The following is a 15,302-nucleotide window of genomic DNA, read 5'->3' on the forward strand; positions in this document are numbered from 1 at the left end:
TGAGCTACCGCATCTGGCTGAAATGTGCACTTTAAATGGTTAAAACAGTAAATTTTATGTGAATTTTTCTCAAAATAAGAGATGAGTGCTCAGTATGTATCAGCTGTGAGGATAAGAGCACAAGATGACTATCACCGATGGCCTGGGTTCGTGTGCATGCAGCTTTCTCAGGGAGACACAGTTCTGATATGAACTGTTCCTGAAACAAACATGGCACAGGAAGGCAAAGTTCCTGAGATATATTGCTAAAAAACTGTTTCACATCCATGAAATGCAATCTTTTCTTTTTTTTTTTTTTTTGAGACAGAGTCTTGCTCTGTCACCCAGGCTAGAGTACAGTGGCACGATCTCGGCTCTCTGCAACCTCCGCCTCCCGGGTTCAAACAATTCTCCTGCCTCAGCCTCCCAGGTAGCTGGGATTACAGGTGCCCACCACTGCACCTGGCTAATTTTTATATTTTTAGTAGAGACAGGGTTCCACCATCTTGGCCAGGCTGGTCTTGAACACCTGACCTCGTGATCCACCTGCCTCAGCCTCCCAAAGTGCTGGGATTACAGGCGTGAGCCACCGCGCCCGGCCATGAAATGCAATTGTATGCATCATTTAAAAGAATAAGGTAGGCTGCGCACGGCGTGGCTGACGCCTGTAATCCCAACACTTTGGGAGGCCAAGGCAGGAGGATCACTTGAGGTCAGGAATTCAAGACCAGCCTGGCTAACATGGGGAAACCCCATCTCTACCAAAAATACAAAAATTAGCCAAGCCTGGTGGCATGTGCCCGTAATCCCAGCTACTAGGGAGATTGAGGCAGGAGAATCACTTGAAGCTGGGAGGGGGAGGTTGCAGTGAGCCACGATCGCACTACTACACTCCAGCCTGAGTGACAGAGCGAGATTCTGTCTCAAAGTAAGTAAGTAAGTAAGTAAGTAAATAAATAAATAAATAAATAAGGTAGAACTTCATGCAGTGTGCATCTCCAAAATACACTGTTACTTGAAAAAAAACACACAAGGGAACAGTGTATATACTATGAATTTTTTAAAAAGGGATGGAGGCGGTAGGTATATATGCTTGTATGTGTACAGAATGACCCAGGAAGACCACCCAAAAAAACTGCTAATGGTGGTTGCATCAGGAGAGAAGAATGAGGGAGCAGGAGTTGGGGAGGGAGCAGGAGTTGGGGAGGGAGCAGGGAGGGATGGAAAGGGTGAGGGGAGATTTTCTTTTTAGTGTATACCCTTTTGCACCTTTTGAATTTTGCACTATATGCATATAATACCCATTCAGAAAGCAAATATAATAAAACCCCAATGGCCAGGTCTTTGTGGCTCTGTCTGTAATCCCTGTAATCCCAGCTACTCAGGAAGCTGCCTCCAAAAAGCTTAAAAAAAAAAAAAAAAATTAGTTGGGTGTGGTGGTGTGCACCTATAGTCCTAGCTACTCAGGAGGCCAAGTTGGGGGATCACCTGAGATCAACAGTTCAAGACCAGCCTTGGCAACATAGTGAGACTCCGTTTAAAAAAGAAAATCAAATATAAATAAATAAAACCATAATAGTTATCTCAATACAACAGAATACTATACAGAAATGACAATAGGCCAGGTGCAGTGGCTCATGTCTGTAATCCCAAGGATTTAAGAAGCTGAGGCAGGAGGAATGCTTGAGTCCAGGAGTTCAAGACCAGCCTAGACAACACAGTGAGACCCCCATCTCTGCAAAAAAAATACAAAAATTAGACTGGTGAACTGGCACATGCCTGTAGTCCCAACTACTGAGGAGGCTGAGGTGGGAGGATCGCTTGAGCCCGGGAGGTCGAGCCTGTAGTGAGCTGAGATGGTGCCACTGCACTCCAGCCTGGGCAACATAGTGAGACCCTGTCTCAAAAAAAAAAAAAAAAGACAATAGGAGTCGAGCACAGTGGCTCATGCCTGTAATCCCAGCACTTTGGGAGGCCAAGGCAGGTGGATCACTAGAGGTCAGGAGTTCGAGACCAGCCTGACCAACATGGTGAAAACCTGTCTCTACTAAATACAAAAAATTAGCCAGGCGTGGTGGTGCATGCCTGTAATCCCAGCTACTTGGGAGGCTGAGGCAAGAGAACCACTTGAACCTGGGAGGCGGAGGTTGCAGTGAGCTGAGATTGTGCCATTGCACTCCAGCCAGAACAACAAGACGAAACTCCGTCTCAGAAAAAAAAAAAATCACAATAAATCATCTACAGCTACACTGAACGACATAGATGAAATGAACAAACATAACAAGGGAAGCCAGATAAGAAAAGTTTATACCACACGATTCCATTTTATATGCAATTCAAAATCAGGCAAAATGAATCTATGCTGTTAACAATCAGGACAGTGGTTACCCTTGCAGGGGTACTGACAGAAAGAACCTGAGGGAACTGCTGGGGGCTAGGCATGTTCTGTGCTGCATCTGGGTGTGGAGTACACAGGGCTGCAGTTTGCAAAGAGTCACTGAGCTGTACTCTTACTTACACCTTCACTTCACTCTATGTATGTTACACATCAAAAAACAGTAAAAACAAATTTAAGACACCACAGTGGCGAACTGAGTGATTAGAAAACCAATAACAATCAAAAATGACCATAGGCCCTATTGCTGATGAACATTTCTTCTAAAAATGACACACCTCCAGTGACACACCAGAGTTATATCTGGGTCTTGTCCAAGCCACCCCTCCAGCCCAGGAGTAGTTAGCAAAGAGGTTGGCATTTCCCTCTGGGAGCAGGTGATGAACAGACAACAGAGCCTGCTGTGGCTACTGCAAACAACCAGGTGTGTGGGGCTGTCATAAGCAGATGGCTAAGCCCCATGTGGTAAGATCGAGATTTTGCATAACAATAATTAGAGGAGAAAATGCAGGGTAGTAGAAGAACCCACAGATGTGGCCAGGTGCAGTGGCTCATGCCTGTAATGCCAGCACTTTGGGAGGCCAAGACAGGAGGACTGCTTGAGCTCAGGAGTCCGAGACCAGGCTGGGCAACATAGTGAGACCCCATCTCTACGAAAAATTTTTAAAATTAGCTGGGCCTGGCGGCACACGCCTGTAGTCCCAGCTATCTGGGAGGCTGAGGTGGGAGGATTGCCTGAGCCCAGGAGGTTGAGGCTACAGTGAGCCATGACTTTGCAACTGCACTCCAACCTGGGCAAGAGAGTGAGACCCTGTCTCAAAACATAACATAACAACCCAGAGATAAGCCTACTGCCTTGGTGGCCAGAAATGTCTGCCTTTATCAGTTACGTCAAAAGAATCAAAATTAGCATTTGATGAATCCAGAGTAACCCCACAAATTAGTCATTGCCAGATGCAATCAGTCATTCCAAAGGGTCTCTGACGTGGAGTAAGTTAACAAAACAACTGCTGCAATGCTGATCTCCCACTCCTGTGTGTGGCCCCTGCAGTTGATTGTCAACATGGAGCCAGCAGGATCCTGTGAAGGCCTAAGGCAGATCCTGTCCCTCCTCTGCTCGGAGCCCTCCGGTGGCTCCTATCTCACACCTGGAGTAAAAGCTCAAGTCCTTTCAATGGCTTTCCAGGCCTTAAGTGGTTTTTTAGGGGTTCCCAGTCCCACCCTGTTACCTCATCTCCTACCTCTCTCCCCCTGGCTGACTCCACCCCAGCCATACTGGCCTCCTTGCTGTCACAAGCCAGCTTCAGAGTCTTTTCCCTAGATACATACATAGCTCATGTTGCTCAAATGTCCCCTTTTCAGGGAGGCCTTCCCGGACCCTACTATTTAAATAAAAATCCTTGCCACTGCTCCAGCTCCAGCTGGGGCACTCTCATTCCCCTTCATTAAGTTCCTCCATAGCACTCATCATCCAACATATGTTTCACTGACTCATTTGTCAGTCTTTCCCTACTAACGTGAAAGCTCCACAAGACTGAATTTCTTTTGTTTTTAAGAGACAGCATCTCATTCTGTTGCCCAGGCTGGAGCGCAATGGTGCGATCATAGCTCACTACAGCCTTGATCTTCCAGGCTCAAGTGATCCTCCCGCCTCAGCCTCTGGAGTAGCTGGGACCACAGGCATAGGCCACCACGCTTGGCAGATTTTTGTATTTTTAGTAGAGATGAAGTTTCCCTGTGTTGCCCAAGCTGGTCTCGAACTGCCAGGCCTTGGCCTCCCAAAGTGCTGGGATTATAGGCGTGAGCTTACTGCACCCCACTGAGAGTGAATATTTTTTGTCTTCTGCTGTGTACTGCTGTATTAAAACAGTGCTTGGCCTACAGAAGGCACTTAATAAATACTTGACTAAATAAATGAGTGAATGAACAAATAAATCCATCATCTACTCCCGAGTCTATAGGTTCTTTCTCTGCACTGACAACTTCCCCACATTCTGTCTTCAGCTCCACATGTGATCCCCAACTGCCTCCTGGATGCCACCCCTAGAATGTCCCAAAGTCACATCAAACCTGGACATCCCAACTGAAACACATCACCTCCCCAAGCTGCTCCCTCTGGGGTTTACCATGTTGGTGACCGCTGCAATACTCCCTCAGTCTCTCCCAGGCCAGAGACAGGTTCTGTCTCTTCTGCCTCCAGTCACTCTGTTTCCACAGCAACTGGGGTAACAGAATGAAATGTGATTTCCCTGGAGTCACTTGATCATAAGAGAGCCCAGTGGAATCATCACCCACTAAGTAATAAAAACACAAATCCCTCCCTCTACACAAACACCTACATGTTGACAGAGCACTTGTGCAGACATTATGTCACCGAATTTTCACAACTCCGGGCTTGGATGTCATTATTCCCAATGGACACATGAGAAAACAGGTTAGAGAAATGAAACAATTTTCTTGAGGTCACCGATTAAGAGGAAGAGCTGGGGGCTTGAATCTAGATCTCAAGACTAAAACTGTCAGCAATCTGTATCTATCACAGTTTAAAAGACTGAGGTCAGGTGCAGTGGCTCATGCCTGTAATCCCAACATTTTGGGAGGCCAAGGTGGGTGGATCACTTAAATTAGCATTTGGTGCTCATTTGCCTTGAACTCCTGAGGTCAGGAGTTCAAGACCAGCCTAGCCAACATGGCAAAACTCGGTCTCTATTATAAATACAAAAATTAGCCAGGCATGTAAATTCCAACTACTCAGAAGGCTGAGGCATGAGAATCATTTGAACCTGGGAAGTGGAGGCCATTAGTTGACAGGCACTAAACACTGACATCAATTGGGGTGGACCAGATGATGTTACAGTAACAAAGGAGTCCCTAATCTCAGTGGTTTAAAACAACCAAGTTGTATTAACTTACACTGTAATAATGCTGTGTAACAAATCATCCTAAAACTGAGATCTTTTCTTTTTTTTTTTTTTTTTTTTTTTGAGATACAGTCTCACTCTGTCTCACAGGCCGGAGTGCAGTGAAACCATCACAGTTCACTGCAGCTTCAACCTTATGGGCTCAATCAATCCTCCCCGCTCAGCCTCCCTGGTAGCTGGGACTACAGGCATACGCCACCAAGCCCAGCTATTTTTTATAATTTTTCGTAGAGATAGGGTTTCCCCATGTTACCCAGGCTGGTCTCAAACTCCTGGGTTCAAGCGATTCACCCACCTCGACCTCCCAACATGAAAACTGAGACTTATACCAACAAGCATTCTTATAAGAATTTGTGGGATGGCTGCTTTGGCTGCAGTTTGGGAGGATTCAGGTCTCTTCCATGAGATTCCACAGTTTTCTGGGATTAGCAGTAACCTGGCAAATGTTCTCATGGCATATTATGGGAGCACAAAAGCCAAGTGCATTTAAGGCCCTTGCTGAAGTTAGATGTGCTGAAATTCCATTAAGTAAATCATATGGTCAAACTCATCAATGGAGCAGGGAAATATACTCCCCCTCCAGTGGGAGGGAGAGGAGTGGATATTTGCTGAATGACTGCCCATTCACAAAAGGTTAATTTTTCCGTCACCCTAGCACTATCCACAGAGTGTTCTGCTCCTTATAGTCATAAAGCAGCCCCCAGGCCAGGAACAATGGTTCATGCCTGTCATCCGAGCACTTTGGGAGGCTGAAGCAGGAGGAACGCTTGAGCCCAGGAGTTTGAGACCAGCCTGGCAACATGGTGGAAACCCCATCTCTAAAAAAATACAAAAAAAACTAGCCAGGCATGGTGGTGCACACCTGCAGTCCCAGCTACTCAGGAGGCTGAGGTGGGAGGATCGCTTGAGCCCAGGAGGTAGAGGCTGCAGTGAGCCAAGCCAAGATCATGCCACTGCACTACAGCCTGGGAACAGAGTGAGACTCTGTCTCAACAGATAAATAAAAGATTGACTGTCAGGCAAATTGTATAACTTCTTTGGGCCTCAGTTTCCTCATCTGTAAAAGTGGGGATAACAGAGCCTGCCTCTTGGGGTTTTTTATGAGGACTCAATGAGCTAATCCATGTGAGTGAGGTGTGTAGAGCAGCGACTGACAGGTAACGTTGAATAATGCCAGCTCTCATTATTATTATTTTATTTTTTATATTTTGGGGGTCTCACTCTGGTGCCCAGGCTGGAGTGCAGTGGCACAATCTCAGCTCACTGCAGCCTCCATCTCCTGGGCTCAAGCAATTCTCTCACCTCAGACTCGCCAGTAGCTGGGATTGCAGGTGCACACCACCATACTCAGCTAATCTATAAAATTTTGGTAGAGATGACATCTTACTGTATTGCCCAGGCTGGTCTCAAACTCCTGGGCTCATGCAATACTCCAGCTTCGGCCTCCCAAAGTGATGGGATTACAGGTGTGAACCACCATACCTGGCTATTATTCTTTAAAAAAAATTATTTATTTTAATAAAAATAGAGACAGGGTCTTGATATGTTGCCCAGGCTGGTCTGGAACTCCTGAGCTCAAGCAATCCTCCCATCTCAGGCTCTGAAAGTGCTGGGTTTACAGGCATGAGCCACGGCATCCGGCCAGTTTCCCCTTCTTTAAAGTGGAGTTGATTGGCTTAGACGACCTTCCTGGACACCTTCCAGCCCTGAGCCCACTGGCTGCAGGAGGCAGAGTACGTGGCAATGATTCATTTTGTTCCAGCTGAGGAAACTGGAACCCAGAAAGTAGATGCCACCTGCCCAGGACCACACACTGATTCCTGTGGTCATCCTGGACTTAATCCTTGGGTCTCCTTTCCTCTCTGCTGAGGGGCACAGGGATTATGCTGCCCATTTTCCGAGTAAGGAAGCTGAGGCCCAGCAAAGAAAGTGACTAAACCCACTGCCAGTTGGCTCAGGAGCAGAATCTGGAACCCCGGACTCCAGACTCCTAGTGAGGAGGAGGTGGGGTGGCAGGATCACCTGTAGGACCACAGAGATGGTCTTCTCGCCTGCCTTGGCTGCCCGCCATTTTCGGTAAGTGTCTGCCTTGAGAAGATTTTCTGCACAGTGAGTCTGGAAACAACAGTGGGAGAGGAGAATTAGGGCACAGAGATGACAGCTAGGCCTCCAGCTCTCAGATGATTCCTTTGAGTCCTCCCAAGGCCTCTACGACCCCCAGATTTAAGCTCTCCCGTTAATCCCCCGACACTCTGCCTGGAGTTTCCCCTACAACACTTTCCCGTGGAAGTTCACCTATGGGCTCTCCAAGAAAGCTTCCCTATTCCTCCTTTTCTCTCCGGAAGTTCCCTAGACGCCGGAACGTCCCTAATTCAACATCTCTCCACAATTCACTTTTAGCCTCCTGGAAATCCCCCCATGACTCTCCTTAGACTTCCAAGAGAACCCCAAAAGCTCTTTTAAGAGCTATCCTCATTAATTCCCTCACGTCTTCCAACCTCCCCCATGCAGGTCCCTCACCGAGTCCTGGCTGCTGCAGGACACGACATGGCGGAGGCGGATCTCCGGCATGTCAACGTCGTGGGCTTCGCCTGGCCAGAAGGATGAGGTAGAGTATGGGGTCCGAGGGGCAGGGAGAGTGGGAGGGGGCGGGGTGCGCCCTGCGCTGGCTAAAGTGCGCAAGCGCGCGAGGCTCGGGCCTTTCAAACCCCGGCGCGCCGGCGCCGGCGTCGACACTGCGCAAGCCCAGTCGCGCCTCTCCAGAGCGGGAAGAGCGCTGCGTTCCTTAGCAACGAGCGTTTCCTCCAGCCCCGCCTCCCTCCGCCACACACAACCCCGCTCTAGCCTCGCCTCCCAATGACGTCCGAACCCTGCTTTCTGGGAGCCTAGCAACAGAAGCGACCTCCGGGATTGGTGTCTGGAAGAAATTCGCCTTTCTCATTGCACGATGGAGTTACCGCCCACACTGAAGCCGAGAAAGCAAATCTTTTTGCTGTATTATTATTTATTTTATTTTTTAAAAATTTTTTGTTGAGACAGGGTCTTGCTCTCTCACCCAGGATGGAGTGCAGTGGCACGATCTCGGCTTTCTGCAACCCCTGTCTCCTGGGGCCAAGGGATCCTCCCACTTCAGCCTCCTAAGTAGCTGGGATTACACGCACGCGCCACCACATTCGGCTAATTTTTGTATTTTTTGTGGAGACATGGGGTGAGAGGGCGGCGGGTCTTGCCATGTTGCCCAGACTGGTCTCGAACTCCTCAGCTCAAGCGATCCACCTGCCTCGGCCTCTCAAAGTGCTGGAACTACAGGCGTGAGCGACTGCGCTGGGCTAGGACAGCAAATCTGAGTGAATTTTCGTAGTTTCGTAGGGAACCTGGATTCTACGCAACAGGATCTCTTCAAATGGCTCAGGCGGCTGCACTCTTCTCTCTGTCCCCTTGCCACACACACACACACGCACATATACATACATACGCGCGCGCGCACGCGCGAAAAAAATTAGCAGATCTCTTTCAGCCTTATGCCTGAGGCCAAAAGAGAAGGGTTCTGCGTCCTAAATATAACACAAAGCATGTGCCCAACCCCCACCACACACACACACACACACCCCTATCCTGGAGTTCTTCCACAAAAGCCTCAGTTTCCCAATATGTGGACTGTGGGCATCTGTCTTTTACTACGCCCGCCTATGACTGCCGACAGACATCCCTCTGTTCATTCGGTGCCTTGGAGACCCAAGGGTGCAGCCCTGGGTGGGGTCGCAGCTGGAGACAGCCCAAACACACAAGGAGTGTGAGCCGAGCACATGAAGAGAGGGGAAGGGAGACAAGGCACCCCGCACCCGCAGGACCAGCCTGGACATGCTGGGTGCTCCAAGGTGGGGCCCTACCCACACTGGGTGCTTCCTTGGGAGGAGAGGGGAAGAGAGAGAAGGAGAGGGAATCCCAGTTCTTGCAGCCACTGGGAATCAAGAGGCCCAACTCCGTCTTGGTCTTCAAGCAAACAAACAAACAACAATGGGCCGTGGGAAGGTGAGAAAACAGGGTGGTGACTTTCTGGGTTCTAATAGAAGAGGGGGATGGAAGCCCAGACTCCTGGGGTCTCCATGGAGGTGGGGGGCTGGGCACAAGATGCCCAGGTCACTTTTGGATTCTGGTTCTGCCTTCCCAACCCGGAGGCCACAGAGGACTGCCCTGGGTTCTGACCTCAGCTATTTCTCCCCGTAGGGTGAATGTGGGTCCAGACCCACCCCTCCTCAGCTTCCTATAAAAGCTGGGGACCAGGTACTGCTGATACACACACCATGAGGCTCTCCAGGAGACCAGAGACCTTTCTGCTGGCCTTTGTGTTGCTCTGCACCCTCCTGGGTCTTGGTAAGTGACAAGGGACCTGAACTGTCTCTGGGACCTCAGGAAGAGAGAGGTCCCAGATTGAGAGAGAGAGAGATATAGAGAGAGAAAGAGCCTTCAGCAAGTCCTCAAGGTGAACGGGGAGGCATTCTGGAAATTCAGATTCATGGAAGAGGCCAAGGGTAAAGGAAGAGAAAGCCTGGGGGTCCCAGAGAAGAAAAGCTCCTGTGATTGGATCCCTGAGAGAGGGGCTTGGTGGGCTCTGAATCCTCCATCCTCCAGGAAGGATCCCAAACACATCTCAATTCTAGGAAATCAGATGAGAGCATGGCTGGAAAGGGAAATCTTTAAAAATATAATTAAAAAAAAAAAAAGAGGGAGAAGGCCAGGTGCGGTGGCTCATGCCTGTAACCCCAGCACTTTAAGAGGCCGAGGCAGGTGGATCACTTGAGGTCAGGAGTTCAAGACCAGCCTGGCCAACATGGTGAAACCCCGTCTTTACTAAAAATACAAAAAAAGTTAGCTGAGCTTGGTGGTGGGCGCCTGTAATCCTAGCTACTTGGGAGGCTGAGGTGAGAGGATTGCTTGAAACTGGGAGGCAAAGGTTGCAGTGAGCCAAGATCGTGCCACTGCACTCCCCAGCCTGGGTGACAGAGCAAAACTCCATCTCAAAAAAAATACATTAATATCATATGATATATTTTTTTAAAAGAGGTAGAGAGATTTCCTTTCTCCTTAGACTAAGAAGTTCAGGCCCCAGCCCCCTCCTCCCCTGCACACAGGAGTCCAAGTAAGCCTCACTTTCCCCAGGACCCAGGTTTCTGGGCCCCTAGCTGTCCCCTCTCTCAGAACCAAGAAGTTCAAGTCCTCTGCCCTCCTGGTCCTCACTCTCCCTCCTTGACCTGGGATGCAGACCCTAGCCTCAGGGCCCCCTGCCTGAGCTCCTGCTGTCTACAAGACCTACATGGCACCTTCAAGGAGGAGAATCCCACATTCAAGAACCAGCTGGACCTGAAGTTTCACAAAAGTCCATGGAAACCTCCATCACGACCCCTCCCTGCCCCTGAGCTTTCTCAGCGGACCCTGGCATCCAAAATCCCCAGCCATGTAATTAGGCAAACAGGCTTCATGGTGGAGTCGCTTCCCGCCCCTGGAAGCAGCTTTGCTGGCATCACCACTGCTTCTTCGTCCAACTCTGGACAGTTCCTTGGGCAGTGGTCAACATCCCGCCCATGAAAAACCAGGGAGCTGCTGGTCCCTCCTCTCTCAGGACACAAAAGTCCTAAGTCAAAGTCGTGGTCCGAAGACCACACCACCCATGACTACAGCCTCGCCCTCTGTCTACACTGCAGGGTGCCCACTACACTGCGAAATATGTACGGCGGCGGGGAGCAGGTGCCATGGCCAAATGAAGACCTGCAGCAGTGACAAGGACACATGTGTGCTCCTGGTCGGGAAGGCTACTTCAAGTAAGAGGATGTGGCCTGGGACCTGGTGGGGAGGTGGGGTGTACCTTCAGGGTGGAAGAGACTACCATGCTGAGGGGGGATCATCATGGTTCTCAAGACGGGAGCGTGGGAAGAAATCAGTGGAGAGCAGGAAAGAGGGAAAGACCATCATGAGATGGAGGGAACAGAAATAAGTGGTGTGATAGAAATCATTATTGTCACAGAATTCTGAAAATGACACTGTCCTAAAGAGAAGGAAAATGTGGGAGGGGTGAGAGTTAATAGACTTTCTTAGGCAGAAGAGGGGTAAGGAAAGACACTGTGGGGGGCAGAGAAATAGTGAGAGGGGAAGAATCTAACTGGCAGGAGGTGGAAATGGTGGGGAGTGGATAGAGAAGGAAGAGGCTGGGCTGGGGTGGGAAAGTGTAAGTGTAATCAGGGAAGAGGTCATTCCTGACCGAGGGAGGAGAGATGATGGTGGAGTGTTGGAGTGGTGGAAGAGACAGAAAAGGGATCACCCCAAACAGGAGATGGATGATAACCTTGAAGTATGGAGCAAATCATTTTTTTTCTTTTTTGAGACAGAGTCTCGCTCTGTCACCCAGGATGGAGTGCAATGGCGCGATCTCTGCTCACTGCAACCTCCACTTCCCAGGTTCAAGCGATTCTCCTGCCTCAGCCTCCCGAGTAGCTGGAATTACAGGTGCGTGCCACCACACCTGGCTAATTTTTGTATTTTTTAGTAGAGACGGGGTTTCGCCATGTTGGCCAGGCTGGTCTCTAACTCCTGACCTCAAGTGATTCTCCCGCCTCGACCTCCCAAAGTGCTGGGATTACAGGCATGAGCTACCGTGCCTGGCTGAGCAAATCATCGTAAAGAGGAGAAGCAGAGACAGGGAGGGGGAGATGTGGATGAGTAAAATGAAAGGGAGGCCGGGCACGGTGGTTCACGCCTGTAATCCCAGCACTTTGGGAGGTTGAGGTGGGAGGATCGTTTGAGCCCAGGAGTTTGAGACCAGCCTGGACAACAAAAAGAGATCCATCTCTACAGAAAAAAAAAAAAAAAAATAGTTGCGCATGGTGGCACATGCCTGTAGTCCCAGCCACTTGGGAGGCTGAGGCAGGAGGATCACTTGAGCTTAGGAGATCGAGGCTGCAGCGAGCTAAGTGCACACCGCTGCACTCCAGCCTGGGCAACAGAGGGAAACCTGTCTCAGAAAATAAAATGGAAGAGAGAAGATGGGCATGAGTTAAATGAAAGAGACCACCCCAGACCTGAAAAATGATGGAGGAGAAAGGGAGCAATGGAAGAGACCAGTGGGGGACAGAGATGTTTATACAAAGCTGAAAGAGACTTTCAATCACAGGAGGAGAGATGATGAGGCCTGGTGAGGGAATAAAGGCGACTTTGGGTGCAGGGAGAAAACACTGGTCGGGAGAGGCTGTGAAAGGAAAGTGAGATCGAAAATCACCCAGCCAGCGTTGGTGGGTTAAGGAAGGACCTGAAAGGCTTGAAGAGAACCCCCATCCCGGCATAGAAGAGGAAACGCACCCTCGGGAAGGGAGGAGAGAGAGCTGGGGGACCCCTCGATGGAGTGAAGGGGGAACCTGTGAATTGGGTAGGAAGAGACCACCACATGGTGGGGAGGGGGAAGGCCGGGGAGACTGGAAGAACCCACCTTAAACAAGACCTGAAAATAGCCAAGAGGGGCAGCAAGAGACCCTCGTTGGGAGGTCTGAGGAGTGACCATGGCAGGATCTGAGAGAGGAGGATGCCTGTTGCTGGGACCGGGGTTCATTGGAAGAGACTACGGGGTGGGCGGGGGTTGGCGGGGAGTTGAGGAGGCTGGAAGAGACCATTTCACGAAGGCATGGGGGTGGCCATAGGCGGCCTGAAATAGAGTAATCCCGGAAGGACAGGGAGAGAGGGGTGGCCGTGGGTGGGGTGGGGTGGGGTGGAAGGGACCACATCCAGCAGGCTGAGGTTGGCAATGGGGAGCTGGAAGAGACCACCAAAGGCCGACTAGGGGCTATGGCAGCGGGAGGGAGGGCTACCTAAGAAAGCACTCCAGGCCATGCACCAGACAGATTTGGCCGCATGGCTCTAGGGGGCTTGAAAGAGACCGCCCCGGCCGGGCTGGCGCAGTGGCTCCCGCCTGTAATCCCAGCACTTTGGGAGGCCGAGGCGGGCGGATCACCTGAGGTCAGGAGTTGGAGACCAGCCTGGCCAACATGGTGAAACCCCGTCTCTATTAAAAATACAAAAAAATAGCCGGGCATGGTGGCGGTCGCCTGTGATCGCAGCTACTCGGGAGGTGGAGGTTGCAGTGAGCCAAGATCGCGCCATTGCACTCCAGCCTGGGCAACTCCGTCTAAAAAAAATAAGAAAAGAAAGAAAAAAAAGAAAGAGACCATCCCAGGAAGTTGTGGGGTTGGGGAGGCCTAGGGTTAGGCAAGACCTTGAGGCAGGGGTTGAAGCCAGGGAGTGGTCAGCCAGCACTGTCCCTGCCTGTCCCCATCCCACAGAGGGCAAGGAGTTGGTGCACACCTACAAGGGCTGCATCAGGTCCCAGGACTGCTACTCCGGCGTTATATCCACCACCATGGGCCCCAAGGACCACATGGTAACCAGCTCCTTCTGCTGCCAGAGCGACGGCTGCAACAGTGCCTTTTTGTCTGGTAAGAAGCCCGTGGTGTGTGGTGTGTGCTCTGGCTCTCCACTGACCCTTGCTGTAGCCACTTGCTGGCTCTGAGCCTGTTTCCTTACCTGTAAAATGCAGTGTCTATTAGCAACCCTGGTGTTTCCCGGGGTTGTTGGGAGGTTGGGGGAACGGCTTAAACATCCCTATTCACCTTACACTTCATCCTCATCCTCAGTTCCCTTGACCAATCTTACTGAGAATGGCCTGATGTGCCCCGCCTGCACTGCGAGCTTCAGGGACAAATGCATGGGGCCCATGACCCACTGTACTGGAAAGGAAAACCACTGCGTCTCCTTATCTGGACACGTGCAGGCTGGTGAGTGGTGCCTGAATCTCTGGAAAAGGAAACAGAACTAGAGGTCCAAACTTCTAGGTTCGATGGGAGGAGAGGGTTCCAGAGAAGTGGGTGAGGATGTGTTCTGGGATTATGAGGAAGAAGGGGCTGAGGTCCCTGATTCCAGTCTGAAATCTCCCTTTCAGGTATTTTCAAACCCAGATTTGCTATGCGGGGCTGTGCTACAGAGAGTATGTGCTTTACCAAGCCTGGTGCTGAAGTACCCACAGGCACCAATGTCCTCTTCCTCCATCATATAGAGTGCACTCACTCCCCCTGAAAAGCTATCTGAACAGAGGAAGATAATGTAGTGTGAAGTCCCCATTTGTCCTCAGCCTGTAACTCCCCGTGTGCCTATAAAGAAGTTAATAGAGCAAGCCTGAGTCCTTGTGGTGTGATGTATCTTGATGAGATAGAATGCAGGAAATAGGGGGTCTCAATCCTCATTTCAAATCCCCTCCTTTTGAGGAAGAGAGGGAAGGCCCTGCCTTCTTTCTTTCTTTCTTTTTCAGACAGGGTCTCACTCTGCCACCCAGGCTGAAGTGCAGTGGTGCATTCAAGGCTCACTGCAGCCTCGACCTCCCGGGCTCAGGTGATTCTCTCACGTCAGCCTCCCTAGTAGCTGGCACTACAGGCATGCACCACCATGCTCGGTGATTCTCCCACCTCGGCCTCCCTAGTAGCTGGGACTACAAGCGTGCACCACCATGACTGGCTAATTTTTTAATTTTTTTGTAGCAACAGGGTTTCACCACATTGCCCAGGCTGGTCTTGAACTCCTGGGCTCAAGCGATCCTTGGCCTCCCAAAGTGCTGGGATGACAGGTGTGAGCTACCATGCCTGGTGGCCCTGCCTTTTATGAAGGGATTAGTCTTTGCCAGGTCCCTGTGCTGTGTTTTCCATGCTATACCTCATTTCATGATCATAACAACTGTGAGGTTGATATTATTATCCCCACTCTACAGATGAACAAACTGAGGCATAGATTGTGGGTGTCAAAATTTGCCTTGGGTCAAACAACCAGGGAGGGTCAGAACCTTGATTTGAACCCGAGTCTGGTATACTTCAGAGTCCATGATCATCTCTCTCAATTAACTGCTTCCTCTTTTTGCCTCAGTGTTCATGTCTGCAAAATGTAGATATTAATAGTTATAACCTCATAAGGTTGTTGTA

At 50.2% G+C, this 15,302-nt stretch overlaps 2 protein-coding genes across 6 annotated transcripts in view, besides 5 other annotated features; one reads left to right on the forward strand and one right to left on the reverse strand.

Annotated features, from left to right (window-relative positions):
- Window positions 1-7,935, reverse strand: part of XRCC1 (X-ray repair cross complementing 1) — a 32,217-nt gene extending 24,282 nt beyond the window's left edge. The window contains exons 1-2 of the mRNA NM_006297.3: window positions 7,816-7,935; window positions 7,318-7,410 (exon numbers count right to left, since the gene is read on the reverse strand). Of these exons, the coding sequence (NP_006288.2) occupies window positions 7,318-7,410; window positions 7,816-7,866 (144 nt within the window). The 5' untranslated portion in view covers window positions 7,867-7,935. The remainder of the gene's footprint in view (window positions 1-7,317; window positions 7,411-7,815) is intronic.
- Window positions 7,889-8,048: a silencer, noted in NCBI's record as "silent region_10723". NCBI's record gives its function as "represses an Ori minimal core promoter by ATAC-STARR-seq in GM12878 lymphoblastoid cells {active_cell/tissue: GM12878}" and the evidence as "EXISTENCE:reporter gene assay evidence [ECO:0000049][PMID:35858748]".
- Window positions 7,917-14,506, forward strand: PINLYP (phospholipase A2 inhibitor and LY6/PLAUR domain containing). 5 transcript variants are annotated; one of them, NM_001193621.3, is made up of 6 exons: window positions 8,209-9,327; window positions 9,523-9,669; window positions 10,998-11,114; window positions 13,620-13,772; window positions 13,971-14,111; window positions 14,276-14,506. In NM_001193621.3, the coding sequence occupies exons 2-6, from the start codon at window positions 9,600-9,602 to the stop codon at window positions 14,407-14,409; spliced, it is 615 nt and encodes a 204-aa protein (NP_001180550.2). In that variant the 5' UTR covers window positions 8,209-9,327; window positions 9,523-9,599; the 3' UTR covers window positions 14,410-14,506. The 5 variants fall into 5 exon arrangements, with proteins under 5 accessions (XP_047294786.1, NP_001180550.2, XP_011525273.1 ...); XM_047438830.1 differs by having other exon boundaries at window positions 7,917-9,669; XM_011526971.3 differs by lacking the exons at window positions 8,209-9,327; window positions 9,523-9,669; window positions 10,998-11,114 and adding an exon at window positions 12,415-12,712.
- Window positions 8,149-8,308: an enhancer, noted in NCBI's record as "active region_14726". NCBI's record gives its function as "activates an Ori minimal core promoter by ATAC-STARR-seq in GM12878 lymphoblastoid cells {active_cell/tissue: GM12878}" and the evidence as "EXISTENCE:reporter gene assay evidence [ECO:0000049][PMID:35858748]".
- Window positions 8,309-8,835: an enhancer, noted in NCBI's record as "H3K27ac-H3K4me1 hESC enhancer chr19:44080053-44080579 (GRCh37/hg19 assembly coordinates)". NCBI's record gives its function as "activates a minimal SCP1, AML or CMV promoter by ChIP-STARR-seq in primed H9 embryonic stem cells {active_cell/tissue: H9 hESC(primed)}" and the evidence as "EXISTENCE:reporter gene assay evidence [ECO:0000049][PMID:30033119]".
- Window positions 8,836-9,361: an enhancer, noted in NCBI's record as "H3K27ac-H3K4me1 hESC enhancer chr19:44080580-44081105 (GRCh37/hg19 assembly coordinates)". NCBI's record gives its function as "activates a minimal SCP1, AML or CMV promoter by ChIP-STARR-seq in primed H9 embryonic stem cells {active_cell/tissue: H9 hESC(primed)}" and the evidence as "EXISTENCE:reporter gene assay evidence [ECO:0000049][PMID:30033119]".
- Window positions 12,623-12,682: an enhancer, noted in NCBI's record as "active region_14727". NCBI's record gives its function as "activates an Ori minimal core promoter by ATAC-STARR-seq in GM12878 lymphoblastoid cells {active_cell/tissue: GM12878}" and the evidence as "EXISTENCE:reporter gene assay evidence [ECO:0000049][PMID:35858748]".

The sequence above is a fragment of the Homo sapiens genome, chromosome 19, assembly GCF_000001405.40.
Source record: "Homo sapiens chromosome 19, GRCh38.p14 Primary Assembly".
In the NCBI taxonomy this organism is placed as follows: Eukaryota; Metazoa; Chordata; class Mammalia; order Primates; family Hominidae; genus Homo; species Homo sapiens.